The 21309-nt window shown below is 56.9% G+C and overlaps 2 long non-coding RNA genes across 19 annotated transcripts, besides 8 other annotated features; one reads left to right on the forward strand and one right to left on the reverse strand.

The window, feature by feature from the left end:
* Positions 2827-3512: an enhancer, noted in NCBI's record as "H3K4me1 hESC enhancer chr11:69289663-69290348 (GRCh37/hg19 assembly coordinates)". NCBI's record gives its function as "activates a minimal SCP1, AML or CMV promoter by ChIP-STARR-seq in naive and primed H9 embryonic stem cells {active_cell/tissue: H9 hESC(naive and primed)}" and the evidence as "EXISTENCE:reporter gene assay evidence [ECO:0000049][PMID:30033119]".
* Positions 3513-4197: an enhancer, noted in NCBI's record as "OCT4-NANOG-H3K4me1 hESC enhancer chr11:69290349-69291033 (GRCh37/hg19 assembly coordinates)". NCBI's record gives its function as "activates a minimal SCP1, AML or CMV promoter by ChIP-STARR-seq in naive H9 embryonic stem cells {active_cell/tissue: H9 hESC(naive)}" and the evidence as "EXISTENCE:reporter gene assay evidence [ECO:0000049][PMID:30033119]".
* LINC02747 (long intergenic non-protein coding RNA 2747) lies at positions 3536-9511 on the reverse strand. 6 transcript variants are annotated; one of them, NR_186004.1, is made up of 3 exons: positions 7628-7889; positions 5925-6014; positions 3536-5545 (listed from the first exon to the last, which is right to left on the reverse strand). It is a non-coding gene; the product is annotated as a long intergenic non-protein coding RNA 2747 (long non-coding RNA). The 6 variants fall into 6 exon arrangements; NR_186003.1 differs by lacking the exon at positions 5925-6014 and adding an exon at positions 6642-6790; NR_184308.1 differs by lacking the exons at positions 5925-6014; positions 7628-7889 and adding an exon at positions 9358-9511.
* Positions 4198-4882: an enhancer, noted in NCBI's record as "OCT4-NANOG-H3K4me1 hESC enhancer chr11:69291034-69291718 (GRCh37/hg19 assembly coordinates)". NCBI's record gives its function as "activates a minimal SCP1, AML or CMV promoter by ChIP-STARR-seq in primed H9 embryonic stem cells {active_cell/tissue: H9 hESC(primed)}" and the evidence as "EXISTENCE:reporter gene assay evidence [ECO:0000049][PMID:30033119]".
* Positions 4883-5567: an enhancer, noted in NCBI's record as "H3K4me1 hESC enhancer chr11:69291719-69292403 (GRCh37/hg19 assembly coordinates)". NCBI's record gives its function as "activates a minimal SCP1, AML or CMV promoter by ChIP-STARR-seq in naive and primed H9 embryonic stem cells {active_cell/tissue: H9 hESC(naive and primed)}" and the evidence as "EXISTENCE:reporter gene assay evidence [ECO:0000049][PMID:30033119]".
* Positions 8429-9395: an enhancer, noted in NCBI's record as "H3K4me1 hESC enhancer chr11:69295265-69296231 (GRCh37/hg19 assembly coordinates)". NCBI's record gives its function as "activates a minimal SCP1, AML or CMV promoter by ChIP-STARR-seq in naive H9 embryonic stem cells {active_cell/tissue: H9 hESC(naive)}" and the evidence as "EXISTENCE:reporter gene assay evidence [ECO:0000049][PMID:30033119]".
* An 83-nt stretch (positions 9512-9594) lies between the features above and the next one.
* LINC01488 (long intergenic non-protein coding RNA 1488) lies at positions 9595-21142 on the forward strand. Of its 13 annotated transcripts, none has more exons than NR_185870.1 (6): positions 9595-9715; positions 13972-14075; positions 15831-16240; positions 18427-19373; positions 19589-19731; positions 20033-21142. It is a non-coding gene; the product is annotated as a long intergenic non-protein coding RNA 1488 (long non-coding RNA). The 13 variants fall into 13 exon arrangements; NR_185868.1 differs by having other exon boundaries at positions 19589-19722; NR_120542.2 differs by lacking the exon at positions 9595-9715 and adding an exon at positions 13493-13870.
* Positions 12918-13455: an enhancer, noted in NCBI's record as "H3K4me1 hESC enhancer chr11:69299754-69300291 (GRCh37/hg19 assembly coordinates)". NCBI's record gives its function as "activates a minimal SCP1, AML or CMV promoter by ChIP-STARR-seq in primed H9 embryonic stem cells {active_cell/tissue: H9 hESC(primed)}" and the evidence as "EXISTENCE:reporter gene assay evidence [ECO:0000049][PMID:30033119]".
* Positions 13456-13994: an enhancer, noted in NCBI's record as "H3K4me1 hESC enhancer chr11:69300292-69300830 (GRCh37/hg19 assembly coordinates)". NCBI's record gives its function as "activates a minimal SCP1, AML or CMV promoter by ChIP-STARR-seq in primed H9 embryonic stem cells {active_cell/tissue: H9 hESC(primed)}" and the evidence as "EXISTENCE:reporter gene assay evidence [ECO:0000049][PMID:30033119]".
* Positions 17566-18234: an enhancer, noted in NCBI's record as "H3K4me1 hESC enhancer chr11:69304402-69305070 (GRCh37/hg19 assembly coordinates)". NCBI's record gives its function as "activates a minimal SCP1, AML or CMV promoter by ChIP-STARR-seq in primed H9 embryonic stem cells {active_cell/tissue: H9 hESC(primed)}" and the evidence as "EXISTENCE:reporter gene assay evidence [ECO:0000049][PMID:30033119]".

A 21309-nucleotide genomic window follows, 5' to 3' on the forward strand; every position in this document is an offset into this window, starting at 1 on the left:
CGGCTACCTACATGGTGTCATTCATTCATTCACTCACATGCATTCATTCTCACTCTGATGGGTGCTTTAATGAGTGGGGAATGGGCAGGTGCAGGTGGGGGGCAGGGGTGAAGGTGGTTCTGCCTGCCCCTTGGGTCCCACCTGATGCCGTGATCCCCAGCAGGACCTGCTGCATCTGCTGCAGGACCCTGTGCCAAGTGAGAATGCAGACTCCTGTGTTTCCCAAAACTGCTGCAGGCTGTTCAGCGGGGACAGCATAGCATTGAACCAAACGCTGACACCTACTGAGGCTGGCCTTGTGTGACCGCACCATCGCCAGCCGTCTGGCCCTGCTCTTCATAACTCTCCATTCCCTCCGCGTGCTGGGACTCGGCCCATGCAAGGGCGTTGACTCCAGGGTGGGGGAGTTGTCAGCCTGTGACTGAGTCTGGCCTCCCTCTTGCTGACCGGGTGAGGCTGAGCCTACACATACTTGACAACTCTGGAAAATCGGGGGTTCAACCAGACAAACTCAAAGCCCCCTACAGCCCAGCTCCACACCCCAGCTCCACACACAATGCAGTGTTCACCCCATGACTGCTGTGGACCCCTGCTCTGCAATCGCTCGCCGGCGATTGAGGGTTTGCAGTGGTAAGGACCTTGAAGGTCACCTCGTCCAACTGCTTTATTGATTAGATGGGGAAACTGAGGCCCAGAGTCCATCTCCAGCCCCCACGTGGCCGCCTGCCTGCCCTTATGAGCCTCCCCTCCAAGGAGCAGCAGGCTGTGAAAGGCAGGCCCCAGTCTCCCCTCCAGCTGGTCTTCAGCAGCTGGACCAGAGCAGAGCTGACCAGGAGCAAGCCTGGACCACAGAGTTGCATGTGGTCCCCAGACCTCTGCGGCTGTCACTCACTGTGCCCAGAGGAAGAACAAGGCCAGTCTTCCAGATAGCTGGGCCCTGGAGGGACCCAAGAAGAGCCTGTCTCCAAGGGCCTGTGCTGCTCCGGCATCCTTTTCCTGGGGAAATCAAGACGCCACCTCAGGGCCTCTTGGCCAGTGTGGAGCCTCTGCCTGGGCACCAGGACCCAATATTCTCACAGGCCTTCATGCCTGCCCCCATAAGCCTGAGTATAGACAAACTGGCAAGATGGGCTCTGAGGCTGTGTGCCAGCTGGAGATGCAAGGTGAGAGGGCAGAGACACTGTGGCAGGTAGGAGCTCGCCCCAAGCTGGTACCTTCTCATGGAAGAATTGAGGGAGCGGACTGAGAACAAACACCCTACCCAGCCATGCCGTTTGCAAAGAGACTCTACAGTGTCTCCCGTGGAGAATGGGGTTATGTCTCCCCACCCTGAACCTGGACTTGCTGTATGACTCACTTTGACCAACAGAATATGGTGGAAGTGGCAGAGTGCTGATTCTAGCCCAGGCCTCCAGGGACCTTGCGTGCTGCCCTGTGGTCTCACACCTCCACACAGCCCTGGCAGCCTGCAAGAGAATGACAAATTTGTGGGGCCAAGCCAAGCTGGTCCAGATGTTCCAGCCAAAGCCCAGAGATAAGAGAGAACCCAGGCAATATCAGTGATGCTGCCTACCTGACTTGCTGCTGATGCTGGACACACCAGTGAGCCCAGCCCAAAGCAGAAAACCACCAAGCTGAGCCCAGCCTTATCTGCCAAGCTAAAGATTCAGACATTGTTTTAAGCCCTGTGTTTTGGGATAGTTTGTAATGCAGAAATTAATTGCATCTACAGTGCCAGGCGGCTAAAAAAGCCACTGTTCACACAGTTGCTGTCTTTCTCTCTTTTCTTCAGTATCAATTCTTTCCCTACCCTAGAAGCTCAGCTCAAGTACCCCCTGCCCTGAAGCCTGTTCTGACCATGCCAGCCTGTAGTGTGGAGACAGCAAAGTGTAGCAGAAAGAGCTCTGCAAAAGGGAGTGGAAAGCCCCACTTCACAGCATCATTCACTCATTCCCTGAGATTTGTGCAGAGGAGACCCAGAAAGCAGGGCAGGGAGCCAGCCTTCCCATAGCTTCCAGTCGAATGGCAGAGACAGGCTAGGAGACAGACAAGGACCACATGGCCTCTTCCCTGCTCTAGTCAGGTAAGCCCATGGGAATGCAAAAACTTTCCCAGGAAAACATGGTGTCCAGACCTGAGCCCACGTCCCTGGCTACCTCACTGGCCCACCTCTGACAATTTCCTGTGTCCTGTGGACTCTGGCCCCACTGGATTGGAAGGGCCAGGAAGGCAGACAAGGAGGCACTTCCTCTACATCTCACAGTGCAGACAGGACCCAGGCTAGCGTGCCACCCTCAGAGGTACTTGGAAAACCTTTGCTCAGTTGGACTGGATGAGACTGGGTTGCACTGAATTGAATTAACTGAGTTCAGTGGAAATGAACTAAATCAAATCAATAACACCCTTGTCTGGCAGTAACACAGTCTCATCTCCAACAATGTCTCTAGGGTGGGAACCATGTTTCACCCACTCTGGTCTCCCCCTCCAGATGAGCACAGGGCTGGGAAGTAGGCCAGGGCTCGAGGCTGTTTGGCTGACACAGGTTGACCATATTTGTAAAGATTGCCTCTCCTCTGGATCCAAAAACTCCAGAATAGGAATTGTCTACCCATCTCCTTCATCTGTGTTTATGCCGCGATTTTTGGAGGGTAGGGGGCTCCAACCGTGGGCCAGAGGCTTTGCTGGGTCTTGGGGATGTTAGGGTAAATTCCCTTATTTAAGTGATCTTGTTTATGATTTATTATTATTTAATTTGCTTACTTTGCTGCCTCCAGGGCCCAGCAGAATTTGCTGAGCCCCAAAGCTCATGACCCGGCAGGTGAGGTGAGCACAAAGAAGCCTCAGAGGTGGGGGTGGAGGGAAAGCTACGCAGGAGCTCTGCGGAAGGCCCAAGGGGTGTTCGGGGCACACGAGGGGTGTTCTGCCCCAACAGTGGGGTCCGGGAAGGCTTCACAGATGAGGGAACCCGGGCAAAAATCACACACAGGACTTGGCAGGATGGGCACAGCAGAGTAGCAGTTCTGGAGGAGACAGAAGCCTGAACCTGCGTGTCGGGTTGGCACAGCCAGAGGTGGCCAGGGAGGGGTAGGTCAAGGAGGCCTTCCTTGCCTCCTTGAGGAGTTCAGGGTTGTCCCAAAAGCAAGTGAGGAAACCTGGAGGATGGCGTGATTGATGGTGCCACGGTTCCCAGGCCTTCCCCACTCCCAGATCCATGCCCTCTGCTGCGTGACTTTGCTGTTCCTCACCTGGACATGCGCACCTCCTGCCCCACAGAGGCTGGGCTCCAGCCAACGGGCCATGGGCAGCAGTGGTGGGAACAGAGGTTTGAATTGTCCCTGCACAGAGCCAATGCTGAGAGCAGGTGCCCAGCAGCTGCCGACCCCAGGAAGCAGAGAGGCCTTGTGCAGACCCAGAGCCTGAGCCCAGCCGAGCCCCCTGGAACCAGCCTCATCCCCTCCCATTGCTTCCCGGGGTCGCTTCCCAAATCAGATGCTGTCTCCGTCAGTTCAGACTGCCAACACAACACCACAGACTGTGCGGTTTAAATCGCAAACATTTATTTCTCACAGTTCTGGAGGCTGGAACTCCACGACCAAGTCACTGGCAGATTCAATGGCTGTTTGCAGGTGGCCGTCTTCTTGTGGGGTCCTCGTGCGACAGAGAGCAGAGACAGAGCCGGTTCTCTGGGCCTCTTCTTATCAGGCCACTAATTTCATCACGGGGCCGCACCCTCAGGACTCAACTACATTCCACAGGTCCCCTCTCCTAATGCCATCACATTGGGAGTTAAGGCTTCAACATATGTATTTAGGGAGGACGCACACATTTGGTCCGTAGCGAGAATTCAGACTCAAGCCCTTGCCTCAGGCTCTAATGCACCCAAACCCAGCAGCCACGCACCGCACACCCTGGAGAGCGTGCAGGGGACCCCTGGGTGGGTGAGGACAGGTTTTGGGACTCAGGAGCTAGTCCCTGGGTTTGTCTCGTCAGCCTTCGCCCACCCCTTGACCTCGAATGGGCCTCCTGACCCAGAACATGGGGATCGGGGCCTGGGAAGGTTGAGGGAAGCATTAAATGAGGTGGCCCTTTGTCATGTATCTGGCACCCCATAGGCGCTCAAATGGTGCAACGAGGATGCCACGGCCCTAACCTGCAAACACGTTTCCACGACTTCACGCCGGAGGCAGCCAAAACGCTTCCCGGCTCCCCTTCCCTGGGGCCCTCCTGGCAGTCCCTGGAGCCAGCCCCTTGGCTCCTGCCTGGCCCCTCCTAGGCAGCCGGCCTGTCCCAGAGTCCCCACCCAGCCCTGGCACCGGCAGGCAACAGACGCTTGCTGGTGGGTGGTCGGGAGCACGTGCCTGGGGAGAGCTGCCTCCACACCATTCACTGATCTAATCAATATCCTGCTCCTCCCGAGAACCCGATCACAGGCCCATCCAAGTGGGGGTCTGGCTGTGACCCCTTCTTCACCCCGAACTTCCCCCATGGCCACCACCTCCCCCTTCCCTCTCCCCAGCCCGCTGGGGTGGGCCGCTGGGAGGAAGCCCATCTCTGACGTGGACCCCGCATACAGGGGGTCGTGGGCCTGTCAGATTGGGTCACCCGAATCAAGGGTGATGATAAAACCTGTCCCTCCAAATTAGGCCAGAGCCCCCGGAGCCCCGCTGATTACAGCCTGTGCACCGAGGACAAAGGGTCCCTCTAGGGTCATTAATATGGATTGAGGCCCATTGTTTTCTCAAATTAGGCCACAGGGAGCGCTTCTTGGGGAAGCACATAGCGGGTGAGGGTTCCTGGGGTCCCGCCCAGGGTCCTGCGAGGCCAGGCTGGAGAGCCAGCAAGGAAGAGGCCAGACCATTCCCAGGCTGAAGGCTCGGGCTCGGGGGTGAGGCCAGGGCCAGTGGGCTTCCCCAGCTCACCTGCAGAATGTTCTGGAGAAATAAAAGGATCCCTCTGAGTACCTGCTGGGACTGAGTGAGCATTCTTAACTTACACAGAGGGTCTTGCTGTCTGCAAAGCGTTTTAGATTCTCAATGCCTTTCAACCTCCAGCACCTTGGGAATTCCACTCCAATTCTTAGTGTGGGAAAGTGAGGCTCCGAAAGGTCCAAAGGCTGTCTCGCTGGTTCGCAAGCCTGAATGCAGGTGCCCCTCCTTCAGCTCGTGACATGCCACATCACCGTGGGACTCACTGCCCGCGTTCAAGAACAAGGATGGCCCAGATACATCGCATGCACACGTCACCGTGACGACAGCCATGGGCTGAGCACATGAAGGCCTCAGATCCTACAGGAGGTTGCCCTCTGCCTCTTCTCATCTGACGCCTAGCCCAGTAGCCTGGGGCTTCGCTGGGTCCTGGACGCTTGTTCACATGCTCACCACACTTTACAGTTTATCGTGTAACATTGCTCCATTATTTCCTGTGAGCTTTGCAACAGATCATTTTTTCGGGTTGAGTTCAATGGCAGCACGGTGTCATCTCTATTCCAGGAGAGAGAAGGCTCCGGGAGCCAAGAGGTCCTCACAGGCTGTCACAACCTGGCTGCCTGTGGGGAGGAGCAGAGGTCAAGGTTGAAGGGATGAAGACCCTCACCCTGTCCTCACCTGGCTGAGGTGCGGTGGGGCAGAAGGACTCATAGCCAGCACCCTGCACCCTGCAGGGCGAAACTGGGCTCAGGAAAAGAATGAGCCCCAAGCTGCCACAGCCTGGGATAGGAGGGTTCCTGCCCAGGACTTTTTAAGGGGCAGGATGTGGGAACAGCAGGGCAGCTACGAGATTCGTGGAGCCCTGTGCAAGACGAAAATGCAAGATGAAAATGCAAGACCCTCCTTCCAGGACGATCAGAGCATCCAACCATGTGCAGGGCCCTTCTGAGCCCGTGGCCCCTGTGGTGGGGATGGGGCGAGGAACAGTTCATTCAATACCTGTCTGACAAGCACCTGTCTGCTTCGTGCCAGGCACTGCCCTGGACAAAATGGGTGCAAGTTCTTTCTCCGTGGGTCCGAGAGGGGCTGCTAACAAATGAATAACAAAATGGCTGCAGGTCATGCCGCTGCTCCATAGAAAACAGACCGGGGGTGAGGCAGGATATTGCTGGGGGACCCCTTAGTGGATAGAATGATCAGAAAAATGGAGGCTCCCAGAGGACGAGGGTAAGCCGTGTGGGGCAGTAAGACAGGAGTAGGGAACAGCCCAACAACGGAGTGGAGGCTGGAAAGTTGCTGCTTGGTCCTCCGTCCTGCTGACTCCCTGCACAGGTACCGAGAGGGATCGGAGTCCCCACCCCTGGGGAGGACTTGCACCCCCGCCTCCACCCCTGTGCTGAGCCCAAGCCTCTGCAAGTCCCTGGGGACCTGCCTCCTGCACCCTGACCGCCTGCTCCTGTCTTTCCTCACTCACACCTCTGCTCAGGGCTGGGCTGGCGTCTTCTCTCCCCAGATGGATGTGTTTTAATATTTCACAAAGGAATATGTTCCTAAAAAATAGCAATTAGGCTGGGCGAGGTGGCTCATGCCTGTAATCCCAGCACTTTGGGAGGCTGAGGTGGGGAGGATCACCCTGGGGTCAGGAGTTTAAGACCAACCTGGTCAACATGTTTCTACCAAAAAACACAAAAATTAGCCTGGTGTGGTGGTGAGCACCTGTAATTCCAGCTACTCAGCAGGTTGAGGCAGGAGAATGGCTTAAACCCAGGAGTCGAGGCAGGAGAATCACTTGAACCCAGGAGTTGGAGGCTGCAGCGAGCCGAGATTGTGCCACTGCACTCTAGCCTGGGTGACAGAGCGAGACTCTGTCTCAAAAAAAGAAACCAGCAATCAGATGGCAAGATATCATAATAAGTTTTTACATGAAAATATAAAGTTACAAAACAACACTCTGATGTGACTTAGAAAAAACAAGTGTGGGCCAGGTGCGGTGGCTCACGCCTGTAATCCCAGCACTTTGGGAGGCTGAAGCCGGTGTATAACTTGAGGTCAGGAGTTCGAGACTAGCCTGGCCAATGTGATGAAACCCTGTCTCTACTAAAAATACAAAAAATTGACGGGCATAATGGCGGGCACCTGCAATCCCAGCTACTCGGGAGGCTGAGGCAGGAGAATCCCTTGAACCCAGGAGGCGGAGGTTGCAGTGAGCCAAGATCGCGCCACTGCCCTCCAGCCTGGGTGACAAAGTGAGACTCTGTCTCAAAAAAAAAAAAAAAAAAAAAAAGAGAGAGAGAGAGAGGAGAGAGAGAGAAAAGAAAAAACAAGTGGGTGGTATATATGTGGAAGAACATAAAAAAGACCAGAAGGAACCACATCTCAGTGTCAGCATGTGAGCTCTGATGGTCTCTGCTGAGGTTGCCTGCGGTGCCCTAACTCTTCTCTGTTTTCTGATTGCTTTTGCAATCAACAGGTATTATTCTCATGAGCAGAAAAACGCCCTGTTGTGCACATTTGGGATGAGAGAAGGGTGCTGCAGGTGAGGAGAAGACAAAGGGGTGGAGTGGGCCAGCTTCTCTAGTGTGGCATCTTCTCCTCTCCTCCTTGCCTGGCTGCCTGGAGCCTGAGGGTCACAGCCTCCAGCCTCTTGGCTTGCACTCTCGGCCTCTGCACGCAGCCTTATCTTCCCCAGAACGCACACTCACCTTCCGCTTCCCTCAGGACCTGCCACCTCCAAACCTCTGCCCATGCTGGGTCCTCCACTGGGCCACCCTCTCCTGCCCAGCTCGGCAGGTGCACATCTTCCTAGCCTGGGGGGCCTGCTCAGAAGGCAGCTCTTTCAGGAAGCCCCTGGCTGGAGAGACCCCACCTTCCTGCCGCCTCCTCTGGCCTCTCTGGTGAGCTGCCCACTCTCTTCCTTGAGTCAGAGTTCAAGGTGTGGCTGTCTTGCCTGTGAGGGCAAAGTCTGCAGCCGACTCGTCTCCCTGGCTGTCAGCTCCACAAGGCGGGCGGGTGCTCAGTAAACATTACTAAACTCATCAGCCCCCTTTGGGCAAACGGGACAGTGGGGCGAGGCCTGGCGTGGCTGGAAAAGCAGTCTGGATGCCCCAGTTGCGGCTGGCTCAACGGCTTTATCTGACAGCCCTGGGCACCAAGACAAAGAGGCGTTCCCTGGCTGCCTTGGCCTCCTCTCTCCCAGGGGAAGGCAGGGTGACATGGCGAGCCTGGGCCACACAGTGAGCCCAGGCCGGAGCCAGCAGCCGGTTCCCAACACTGGCTAGGGCCCTTCTGCAGGCCTGACCCTGAGCACATCCCAGGACCCCGTCAGCTTCCCAGGGAGAGTTCCCAGGAGTCTGTGCTGGCGTGGAGAGGAGCTGGGGGCCCCTGGGTGTGCGGCTGCAGACGTCACGGGCACCCAGAACCCTGACCAGAGTCAATGTTGTCGTCCCCTTGGCATGCTGGAAAAAAAATTGCTCAGACAGGGCTGGAGGGCTCTCAGACCCTTTGTATCCTCTTCTCTGAGTCTTGGGAAATTGAGAAGTCCTCTGAGAGCTTCCCTTCACCTGATAGTCCCACCCTCAGGATGGAGCTGAGGCAGAGTCTGCACTCCTCAACCCTCTTCTCTGTGAAACAGTTAGGAAATGTCTGCAGACATCATCATCCGGACTCAACTCCTCTTCCCTGCTATGAATCGTGAAACAAAGTGTTCAGGTCACCACAGTGAGGACTCTGGCACTGAGCCGGCACTGGGCGGGATCAGTAGCTTGGATGGAATGCCGGCAGGGTCCCTGCTGACCTCATCATGTGGAAGAGTTTCGGAGAGGTCAGGAGTTGCCAAGGGCCTGCAGACAACGCCGTGTGAGGAGGACAGTGTGAGGTAGCACAGGCCTCTTCGATTCCCAAGGTTCCCTGGAATCCTCAGGATTCCCAAGGAACCCTTGGATCACCCCAGCACCACCTAGCCCAGGGACAGAGCCAGGCCTGAGTGCACAGCCCGCTAGCAACTGTGTAACAGGTGCCAGGCACCTACAGTGTGCTGGGCATGGGGCTGAGGTGGGGCTGTGCTGGCAATGCTGCAGACAGCATGTTTACACCAAGCACAGCTACAAGCCCAGGACCAGCTTCCCTCCTTCCGTCAGAGCAGCCACTGGGGCAGCCAGTGTTACTAGATCCCCACTTGACACATGAGGAGGCACCAGGAGGCTGTGCCACTCAGCCGATCTAGCGGTCCACACATCAGAGTCCATACTCTGCCACCATTAGAATGGGGCTTGTGATGGCTGCCCTCACTCAGTTCAGGGGTCCCCACCAGAATCTCTCAGGCCACACCCTGGGACCTCAGATACACTCTGGGCAAGTGGCAGGGGCCCTGAAAGGTCCAGAGTCCAGCCAACTTCAGGTCTCCCAGGCAAAAGGAGCCAGACCTCCCACTCACCCCCTCGAACCCAGCAGTCACTCCAACAGGGCTTCTCTGACAGTCCAGGCTGATGCAGCTCACTGTGGCAAAAGACCTTCCCTGAATCAGGTCCTCACATAGAGGCCCATGCAGCCCTCTGGGAATGCGGAGGCTGGGGGCAGCCATAGACACTGGAGCTCCTTCCCTGTGACAAGTGCCATCCCATGGGGAGGAGCCAAGCCCAACGAACACCCCAAGGCAAGAGGGAAGAGCTCTGTGGGGCAGAGGGCAGCCTGAGCATCTGCAAACAGAGTGGCTCACAGAGAGGACACCTGCCCTGAGGACACCTGCAGGAGATCCCTACAGAGGAAGGGCTAGACCAGGCTCCATCCAGCAAGTAAGGTCTCTAACAGCTTTGAGATCGTAAGCCCTTTAAATAGGGAGGGAGGTGGGTGAATGGATGGATGGATGGATGGATGAGTAGATGGACGGGTGGATGATTGAATGGGTGGATGGATGGATGAGTGGATGGTTGGATGAGTGGATGGATGGATAGATGAGTAGATGGATGGATGGATGATTGAATGGGTGGATGGATGGATGAGTGGATGGACGGACAGATGGATGGATGGATGGATGGATGAGTGAGTGGTGTATTAGTCTATTCTCATGCTGCTAACAAAGACATACCTGAGACTGCATAATTTATGAAGGAAAGAGGTTTAATGGACTCACAGTTCCACATGGCTGGGGAGGCCTCACAATCATGGCAGAAGGCAAAAGAGAAGCAAAGGCACATCTTACATGGAGGCAGGCAAGAGAGCATGTGCAGGGGAACTCCCATTTATAAAACCATCAGATCTCATGAGACTCATTCACTACCATGAGAACAGTATGGGGTAAACCGCCCCCATGATTCAATTATCTCCATCTGGCCCTGCCCTGGACACATGGGGATTATTACAATTTAAGGTGAGATGTGAGTGGGGACACAACCAAACAATATCAAGTAGATGGATGGATGAATGGATGGATGGATGAGTGGATGGATGGACGAGTGGATGGATGAATGGATGGATGGATGCATGCATGGATAGATGGATGAGTGCATGAATGGATGAGTGGATGGACGGATGGATGAATGGATGGATGATGAGTGGATGGATGAGTAGGTGGATGGATGAGTAGGTGGATGGATGAGTAGGTGGATGAATGGATGAGTGGATGGATGGGTAAATGGATGGATGGATGGATAGATGGATGGATGAATGGATGGAAGAAAGGAAGAGAGAGAAGAAAGTTACATTGATTGATTTATATAGTTTGTCATACCAGAAAGTTCTGCAGACTGGACTGCTTACAAACAGATGTTTCTTCTTTCACCGTCCTGGAGGCTAGACGTCTGAGATCAAGGTGTGGCAGGGCTGGTTCTTCTGCAGTCTCTTTCCTTGGCTCGTAGACAGCATCTTCTCCTCACATTTTCACAGGGTTGTTCCTCTATGTGGGTCCGTATCCTAATCTTATGAGGATGCCAGTCATATTGAATGAGGACCCACCCTGGTGACCTCCTTTTAATTTGATTACATCTGTAAAGATCCTGTATCCAAATAATGTTACATTCCGGGGTCCTGGGAGTTAAGACTTCAACATACGAATTGTGGGGGGATGTGATTCAGCCCATAACAGTTAAGCTATCACAGATACTTCTGAGGTCCGTGGAAGGAGAGAGTGTGGGTACTCATGACTTCCCAGAGTCCCAGCAATGCTACCCAGAGCAGGTCTGTGCAAGGGAGGGCAGCCATCTGCTTTTCCACGGTCTGGAGTCCCCTTCTTTCTTTCATCAGGACTCCGAGTCCTCTGCCCCATGGACCCCTCTTCCCAAACTTCTCTCTGGTCAGGACTTACACTCTGGAGCCTACAGGTGGAGCCTGGGGTGGAATTCCACTTCCTCCACTTATCAGCTGTGTGTCTTTGGGCCTCTTATTTAACCTCTCTGGACTTCAGGTTCCTTCTCTATAAAGTAGGATCATGATATGCCCTACCTCATAGGTTTTTATGAGGATAAAATGAGGGACATTCATGGGATATTGGAACAGTGCTGACCCCTAGCAAGCACTAGGTCAGTGTTTGCTAAATAAATGAAGAAACCATCTCCATGGGTAGGCTGAAGGTAGAACAGCGTCGGGACTTGTCTGTGACCCGGGCTCAGAGGGCTGTGGGCTCAGAGGAGGGGAAGAGGCTGCTGTGGTCAGGCCCACGTCCAGAGGGGGCTTTTGCTTAGCAGAGGCTGCTGGCCAGGCAGCCCCAGCCGCACCCCATTTTATGCATATGAGAGAGAAATGCAGGCGTGATGGTCTGCAATTGTCCCTTTTGTTTACAGCATTTGTTGGAGCATATTTCTGGCAAGGAAGCTGACAATAAACCAAGGCCCGGGCCGGCCCGGCTGGCGGGCAGCAAATGAAGACAGCTGCCGAGGCGGGTGCCTCCCGGTGGGCTGGGGCCGGAAACCAGGGGCTCTGTCTCAGGCGCTTCAAAGAAGAGCCTTTGTCTAAGGCAGCCGAGCCAAGGGCCCCGCAGGGGCAGGCGGGCTGGGGCTCTGGGTGATGCCCGACTCACTCCACGACCTCACACGGGCAGCTCCCGCTCTCCAGGCCTCAGGTTCCCAGCTGCGAAGTAAAGGGGAACTAGGGCCCTAGGTACCTGCTGTGAGCCCTGTGTCAGCTCCAGGGAAGGGAGGGTGCTCTTGGGGTGCCCCCTCACTCCTTAGAACCTGCGTTCTGCAGCTTCGAGATAGAGAGCGACCTCAGAACACTCAGCCAAGAAACAGACAGGCCAGGGCATGGCCTCCAGACAGGAGGTCATGGGAGAAGGAGAGTCAGCGCTGCCCGGTGAGAGGACACAGAGGCTCTGTGGGAGAAGGGAGGGACAGTCCCGGCATGAGTACACACAGAACCTGGCAGGAGGGTCTTCTAATGGCCACTGGGCCTGCACCCCTGCTGTGGGCCCAGAGCCCCATGCACCTGCTTCTTGTCCACCTCCAGAAGGGTGTTGCCTTCTGCACATCCTTGTTGAATGATGTCCCAAGGGAGCCCTGAGATGTCACAACTTCAGGTGACTCCCCTGCCTCCCAAGGACACTTACAGAGGTGTTTTCACAAAGGACACCTCACAAAGGCACAGCTTTTAAGGACCTCTAGTGTGAAACGGGAATGTTTCAGGCACTAGAAAAGGCCCAGCAGTTTCTGGAAGGAGAAGAGGACACCCCTCTGACTCTGCCAAGTGGGCCGGCCCTGTGTCGCGCTGGCCCACGCAGCTGCTGAGCCCTGCTGTTGGGCAGCAATCAGCGATGGGTGGCCGTGGGCAGGTTCCCTGCACTCCTGGGGCCTCGTCTTCAGTCTGTGCTTTGCATTGTCCTCCTCCTGCTGGGTCAAACCCTGGGCTCAGGACCGTCTGCAGGTCACCTCCTCCCTGAAGCCGTCCACAGCACCAGAGTCTTCACTGGCTCCTTTGTTTTCTCTGAAGGCAGAGAATCTTCTAGTGCATGTGATTTACAATGGTTTGTGTCCTGGTCTTATCTGCTACTGCTGACCAGTAGTTTGACACAAGTGGGCTGTGCTAAAATCTCTGAACCACCCAACCCCCCGCCACCACCACTCACCCCACACCTTGTCCTGAGCTCAGCATGTCACTGCGTATGGGAAGTGGGGGGCGGGGTGGAGTTCATGGCCAGATCCTCCAGGTCAGGTGCTTTGCAGGCTAAATCTTACTTGACCTCCTAGCAATTGGGTGATGTAGTGCCCAGGCCACAGATGAGGATCCAGAGAGTAGGAGAGGCAAAGGGTTTTCCCCCAGGAACATGATGGAGCCAGGAGTTGGACCCAGACCCTTAAGGTTCCAAGGTCTTCTCATCCCCTCTCAGTCGAGGTCAGCTGGAGGGGAGAATAAATGTGCTGGGGGCTCAGGAGTTCTTGGAGTCAGGGTTGATGATGCCACTGACCTCACTGGACTTAACATTCATTCAACAAATATTTGTCCCAGACACCAGAAGAACCAGGGGAAGCTCCACCCCTAGCCCCAGGTGCCTGCCTAGGCGCAGGCAACACTGCGGATGAGGTGGGACCCTCTCTTGGGGGCGTGAGCTAGAAGAGCAGGCATTGGCCATAGGCTCTGGCTTGCTGCAGAGGTGCCTTTTGTCTGGCAAGGGGAGCACAGGTGGGGGATGGGGCTGGCCCCAGCCAGGACATTGTCTGTGTCACTCAGCAGCAGACTGACTGGCGCCTGCTGCCTGGCCAGCAATGCTGACCCCTCTGCCTGCCCTAGCCAATATTTGAGGTCAGGAGGCAAGTACAGCATCTGTGGGCAGACGACAGGGCCAATGGGGTTCTCCTCCAGGCCTTCTGCTGCCACTCTGCTTCCTGAAGCCAGGAGGCCCAGTTCAGGTGCTCCGCCAGGGCTCCCGTGGTCCTGCCTGCAGGGGCGAGGTAGCAGGACCCCCTTGTTTAGCCTCTGCTGCATCCTTAGCTGCAGCAGGGAGCCTGCCAGGCAGGTGTGCGGTGAGTACCTCTCGCCGAGGCCCCCTAGGCACTCTTGTGTCAGGGTGGTGCTGTCTGAGATCCTGGAGGCATCTCAAATGGGGACCCTTTCTTAACCACAGACAGGCAGGACAGCGATGTCTTCCTGCATGACAGAAGGGGAAACTGAGGCCCAGAGTGATGCAGCCCGGGACCTCCCAGGACAAGGTCCAAGCTCTTACCTCAGGTATGGAGTTTCCATGATAACTGTGGGTCACTGCAGCCCCACTGCCGGGCCTGGGGTCTGCACTGTCACTAGCATCCCCAGGGACTTGAGGGATGGCACAGCTTTGGGAAGAAATCCTGCCCGTGGAGGGGTCTGTGCCCTGCCCCACTCGGACCATCTCAGCCCTAGATATTAGCTAGCTGTGGGCCATCTGGGGGAGCATCTGAGAACCGGGCCTCGAAACTTGGCTAGAGTTTGGTCAGCACCACGAGGTCCACCTGCCCACTGGGGCCTCCAGGTTCATCTCCCCAGGTGTTGCCTGAGCTTGGCTTGTGATTCCAAAACCAGGTGAAGGCGCAAAAGCCGTGTCTCTGCCGCAAGGGGCCCGTGGGCCCAGGAACGCTCAGAACTGAGCTTGCTCCAGAGAAGACACGCAGGGCCAGGGAAGCTGGAGGAGCAGTCGCCCTCCCCTCGCTGTCCTGGGGGGTCTTCCTGAGGGAGGTGCCTTCTGCTCAGAGACTGAGGATGAGGAGAGAGGGGACAGCCTATGGGGACAGGGGAGGAGCCTCTCCCAGTCCCAGGGGTCATCTTCCAGGAAGGCCCAGCCCATCTGAGGAGCTCCATAAGCCCCCGCGATGGGTGGCAGGGCTGGGGCTCTGTGGCAGGGCTTTGAACTCCCAGCCAGCCCCAGGACGGCTGCCTGGCTGTGTTGCTGGCCCTGCTCCTGGCCCTGCCCCACTGTCCCCGAACTGGATCCAGGCAGACAGGGAAATGTGGATGTCAGCTCTGAACCACCACATTCCTGAGGTCCCCTCCGGGCCCAGAGCTGCACGGCCTCCTCTTTCGCGTTAACCCGAAAAGCCGTGCTGGGGGGTCCTGGCCCCTCCTACTCTGCCGCCTCTGCATTCCCTGCCCCTGCCAGCGCGGCCCAGCCAAGGCTTGCAAGCGCATTCCCAGGTGGCCTGGGGCGGCTGCCGCCTCCCGCAGGCGGAGTATTTTGGGGGTGTCCCCTAAATGAAAACAGGGCAGGAATGCTGGAGGCCACACTGTGTCCCCAAGGCTTGGGTGCGGTGCTTGGAGCTGGCACAGAAGAGAGTAGCGGGAGGGAGGAGGAGAGCGGAGGATGGGAGGAGAGAGGGGCCTGGAAAGCCCAGGAGAGCCAGCTGGACAGGGTGGGACGGCATGGGAAGGAGAGGGAGCCCCGTGAGGGCTGCAGGCCACCAGGGCCCTCGAAAAATCACTCGCGGGAACAAGGGTGGAAATCCTGTCTGCCATGACGCTCACCCTCTCTGTGGCCCATTTTCTCATCTGTGAGTTGGGGGATGATGTTCTGAGGTCCTCACAAGGCAGGGCCTGAGTAAGGACTGACGGGGAGCTAGGTTTGGCCTCCGCCCTGTCCTCAGGAAGGGGCCGTGTGGTGTCCACGTGTGCTGGCCCTGGTGGTCCCCTTGGGGTCCTGTTCCCCGTCGGTCATGGCGCTGGGCCTCCCTGTGGCTGATTTCTTGTGGGTCGTGGAATTTCTAGTTTTAAGGGGACCAGTGTGGCACAGCAGGGTGCTCCCCAGGCAGGTGTGGGTGGGTGTCTCTTGTGGAGGCCCCCGAGACACTCCTGAGTCCAGGTGGTGCTGTCTGAGGTCCTGGAGGCAGGTCCTGGCTCAGGCAGAAATCTTGTCCAAAGGGAATCTTGTCAGATGCCTCCTACCCTGACATCCCCATCTGCTTCCCCACAGTGATAGCCTGGTAACCGGCTGTGCCTCTTTGTCCCTTGTCCTCCCAGGTCCCTACACGGGTCAAGATGGGAGCCGCCTTAGAGATCTCTATTCTGCAGAGGAGGAAACTGAGGCACAGACATGGATGGAGGGAATTTGGCCAAGGCCCTTTGGCCTTCTGGGCCAGGACTCCAGCCCCAGCCCAGTGGCAGGAAGAGGGTCTCATGCCACCCCTCAACCCTGATAATCCTGCATGCACGGCACAGGCCTCGAACCTCCTCTCCCCTGGCCTGGTCCCACCCTAGTGGGCCCGGCAGTGGGGCCTTCCATCCTGCCTCTGTCACTGCCACAAAAGAACATCATGATGCATCCCAGGCCTCTGTCCTTCAGGCCATGGGGGGCTTCCCTGAGCACAGCCACTCACCACATGCCTGAGTCTGGATCTCATGCGAGAACTGGCCTGGACCCCTGGACCAGGGTAAGAGGGAGACACAGCAAGGCCCAGACAGGTTGACCGACTGCCCAGGGTTTCTGGCCAACGAGCAACGGAGCCGTTTTGACGCCCAGGTCTGGCCTTTTCGGTCTGCAGCAGGCAGCATTGGGAAGCAGGCTTGGGCCCCCTCCCGCCACCCCAGCTGCTCCTCTGAGCCCCCGAGGTGGGCACCAGACCCAGGCCTCTCCCACGGCAACAGGAGGGTACAGAAAAGGCGCCTTTGTCAAACCCTGGAGAAGGCCCTGCTGGGCAGGGGCAGTTAATGGACCGGCCCGGGGTGGGCCCCACACAATGGAACGTTGTGCCGCCTGTCGGGGGCGATCACCATGCTTGCCCATCAGAGCCCCGTCGCAGGGACACACAGCTCATGGGTGCAGACACACAGTGGCTGCCCAGGAGCCAGGCCTTCCAGTCTGAGAACACAATGGCCATCAGTCACCAGCATGGCACGGGGCCCTGGGCATGGGGAACCGGCAGCAAAGGGCCGATTTGAGTGCCGGGGGCACCACCAAGACGCCCAGGCTTGGGAGGGTGAGGCCAGCCTGGCCCAGCCCTGCACAGCCGTAGCCTTGACACGCGTCTCTCCTTCCTGAGCCTTGGTTTTGCATTCCCACAGTGGGGCCAAAGCCACCTCTGCCACACCTGCCAAACTGTGGGAGAGATGATGGGAAATCAAGGAAGAAAAGGCTCATGGGAAAGAAAGTGTGTAGATAAGGCTTCAGAAAGGTAATGGGAAGCTATGCCTTGGTCTAAGAAGCCCATTCAGAACCTGCACACCACGGCTGTGGCCCCCAAACGCCCCTCGGATTGGGGGGAGCTGGACCAGGCATCACATGTCAGGGAGCAGTCCAGGGGTCTCCCCACCGCAGACCACACCGAGACCCCAGACGCCCTCTGGTCTCTCCACCGCAGACCACACTGTGACCCCGGGCACCTGCTCCCCACTTGGAGCTGGTTTCTCCGAAACTGAAATGAGGGAGCTCAAGACTCCCAGGTCTTTCCTTCTGCCTCCCTGGACACCAGAGGCTGCTGCCGTTGGGCTCTGAGGACCCCTGACACAGAGGAGCCCCAACATGGGCTGAGAGGGGGCCTGGGCAGTGCAGGCCGCAGTGTCCTCCCTGCCCTGGCAGCATGCAGGGACCCCAAACCTCCAGCGCGAAATCACTAAAATAGCCAGCAGCAGCTTTCCCACAGGCCTCCCATGTGGTATTTTTAGCCCTGGAGCCGGAGGCTTGGCTTGTTAAGAATAGCCTGGGGCAGTGGGAACGTGCTCCTGCTGCAGGCGGGCTGCGGACTCCCATGCACCGGTAGCGGGTGCTCCAAGGGCCGAGAGGCGTCCATAGGCCGTAGGCTCCCCCGCAGGGACAGGGGCAGGTCTCATTTGCAAAATCAAAAAGGCACAATCCAATGCATCAGGCTTCTGTGACCACAGTCAAGAAAGAGGGTGGCTGTCCTCACAGAGAACCCCCGTGGCCGAGCCTCCCAGGGGCTGGCAGGCTGGATTTGGCCTTCCACCTTGCCCTCTGTAGCCCCATCCCGACACTCTCAGCGGGTGAGGAGGGTAAGCTTCCAGGGTCAGGCTGGGTGAGTGGTTCCAGCCCCAGGGGTGGGGGTGCCAATCCCAGGTCCCAGCCAGGACCTCATGCACCTGAGTCAGCTCCTGCACCCTGGAGTGTCTGACAATTCTTCCCCAAGGAGATGCTCCACCACAGCATAGGTCAGAAAGGGGCCTGGAGTTTTGTTGGAGGAGCCCTTGGTCCCTCAACACCCCAGCCAAGGAGAAGTGCCCCAGCCCCTCACACATGCTCCTTGGAGATTTGGTCCAGGCCCCAGGGTTGGAGTGAAGCTGTCCCACCATCATCCCAGGCACATCTGGGGCAAGAGGCCCATCCCTAGTCAGCCCTGTTCCGCCGAATGGGCTTTTGTCCGAAGCTGCAGTCTCTGTAGGGTAGAGCGGTAAGGCTGGCAGGACTGCGGAGGCGTGGGATCTGGGGCGTACACAGCCAACAGTCAGTGCTGTGAAGACAAAGAACCTGAAAAGTCAATGGCTTCCAAGAGTGACAGGGACCGCCTTTCATCCAGTTCTTCTTGACTCTGAAACCTCCTATGGCTCCCCAGTGCCTGCAGCAGCTAGAAATACAATTCACCGATGAATCCTTGTTTTCTTCCAGATACAAACTCATCTGGAAGCATTAAAACAATGGAAGCAGGTGAGAGCAGAGAGATCCCGAGCGCAGGTGAGGTGGGGTCCCTGAGGCGGGCTCAAAAGCTGCTTCCCAAGGCAGGGGGGCCCCTATGTGCCCTCTGAGAGCACAGCCTGCAGACAGAGTCCAGACGTCTCAGGCAGGCCTTTGAGGCCTTCGTGTCAAAGCCCAGTTCTACCACATCCTAGGGTTATACTTTCGGCCTGGTGGGAGTCGCTGGTCCCCAGTTGACAGTGTCATTGGGAAAGTCCAGTGGTAGACCCCGGCACAGCAGGCGCTCAGCAGTGCAGCAGTATCATTGCTTAGCCCCACCTCCCTTTCCAGACTCTGCACCCCTCCTCAGGCTCAGAGCAAGGGCCTGCCCCTGCCCCTCCACCGCCCCCTCCTCACTTACCCCTGCGACTCTGCCCAAGCAAGACCTCCCCCTGGAATTCATTCATTTATCAACTCATTATGCAGCCAGCCAGCCATCGTTTCTTTTTTATCCACTTTTTCTGAGGGCCTGCTGTGCGCCAGCTGCTGGAGACATGAAGACATCGAAGACCCCAGGCCTTGACCTCCAAGAGCCCCCAGTTTGGTGGAAGAAACAAACAAGGAGACTGCAAAACACACCCTGTGATGGGGAGGGTTGAGGTGGCCAGTGGGAGAGGCGAGCTGGCAGGGCTCAGTGGTGAGGTGAAGGTGTGGGAGCAGGGACACAGCATGAAGGAGTAGATGGCCAGGTTGAGCTTTGCAGGCTCCAGGGGGAGGATAAAGAGCTGACACCTGGAACGTGCTTGGAACAGCAGGTGCTCGGTCAGTGCAGCCACGACCATCCCGTCCTGCATCCCCACCATGAACTTGGACCTTCTGGAAGGACCTTGCTTATCCCAGCATCCACACATCCTTGACCAGACCTGGTCAACATTTGCTTAGTAAGTGAATCAATGAATAGTTTGCTCCAAAAGGCTGTTTGGTAATGGAGTTAGCCTATGGGAAGCTGTGGGGTGAGGGAGGAGAGAGACGATTCTGACCTCCCGAGGAGCTGGGCTGTGGTCTCCTGCTCTGCCTGAACCAGCCCTGGGCCCTTGGTATGAAGACCCGGTGGATATGCTAGCCCTGTGTTCTGTATCTTCCTCCTCCATTGAAGCCTCTGCCAGCCTCCTCTCACCCATTCCTGCATGTGCCGCACCAATCTGTGTGGAGCGCCCACTCCAGCCAGGCCCTGCTCTATCAGCAAACTCAGCAGGCAGAACCCCTGCCCCATGGCGCTGCTTCAGCGTGGTGAGACAGGCAAGGAGATCGGGAGCAAGAGGGCGTTGGGGTCTGCTAGAAGTCGCAAGTGATGCAGAGTAGAGCGGGGACATTTGGAGCACAGTGGACAGGGATTACGGAGGTACAGGGCAAGGCAGCCCAGGAGGCGGGAGCGGCCAGTGCAAAGGCCCCGAGGCAGGAGGGCACAGAGGCCCGTGGGGTGGAGCAGAGGGAACTGGGAGGATGGGCAGATGGGTTTGGACCTCATCGGCCACTGGAAGGATTTTGATTTTCCTTGAAGACAGGAACTAATGGGAGGCTTGGTCTCACATTTTCCCAGGAACCGCCTGGCTGCTGGGATGAGAAGAGACTGGAGAGAGACCACGATGGAAGCCAGGAGGCCAACGAGGAGTTGGGGTAGTCCTCCAGGGAGACATGATGTGGCTTCAGCCCCAGTGGTGATGGCGGGGTAGAGCCAGCAGGGTTCTGAACTGAGTGGATGTGAAATGAGGGAAAGAGGGATGCTGCGGTCGGCAGAATCGTGCCTCCCGCAAAGATGCCCCATCCTAACCCGTCACCCTTGACAGTGAGACCTCCACCACAAAGGGGACTTTGCAGGCATGAAGGTTAAGGACCCTGAGAGGAGGAGATGGCCCTGGACTGTCTGGCGGGCCCAGCATCATCACAAGGGTGCTTATAAGTGGAGGAGGAGGCAGGGGGAGCCGAGCAGATGTGAGGATAGAAGCAGAGGTCGGAGGGACGTGCTGTTGGCTTGAGATGGAGGAGGACCTATGAGCCAAGGAGCATGGGCGGCCTCTGGAAGCCAGAAAGGGCAAGGCCTCTTCCCGGAGCCTCCAGCAGAACCCAGCCCCGCTGCCACCTCGACTGCAGAACGGTGACACCGTGTCCGATTCCCGACCTCCAGAACCGTGAGATAACACGTGTGCTGTTTTAAGCCACTGCAATTGTGGTATTTGTCACAGCAGCCATAGGAAACTGTACGGGGGTTAAAGAGGACCTGCTGACCTCTGAGCTCACACTGAAGCCTCCTGGAATGCTGTGGGTTGTGAGCTGGGATGAGAACGCAGCATGGAGATGAAAGACGCATCCACCCAGGAAGGCCCACTGGCATCGCAATCTCAGGGAAGATTCCCAGGCTGAAAAAAGAGAAAGTGGCTGGGGTGGCACTGAATGCCCCACGTCAAAGAAATGGCACCCAAGCCGTCCGTCAGTCCCTCACCTGCCACACAGACAGCACCTTGGACCCAGCAAGATGTCACTCACCACATTGATGCTGTCCACAGGCATCGCCTTGCTTTTGCAGCTCTGTGTGAGATTTGTCAGCTTGGTTTGGGTCTGGGGCTGTATTAGAGCTGTCAGCCTAGGAGCCTACCCTAGTTTTGTGTCTGCACTATTTCCAAAGCACTGGAATAAAAGGCATTTTAACCAACACCAGGAACCCACGGGAATCTTTTCAAAGGATCTGCATCAGATCAGCCTAAGGAACACTGCTGTCGGTGATGAAATCTGTTGAGGATTCGAAGCTGGCGTGTGGTGCACGCAAATTCCTTTTTTCTTTTTTAATCAATGATTAGATGATTCCTTAGAGCAGTTTTA

Source organism: Homo sapiens, chromosome 11 (genome assembly GCF_000001405.40).
Source record: "Homo sapiens chromosome 11, GRCh38.p14 Primary Assembly".
Lineage (NCBI taxonomy): Eukaryota > Metazoa > Chordata > Mammalia > Primates > Hominidae > Homo > Homo sapiens.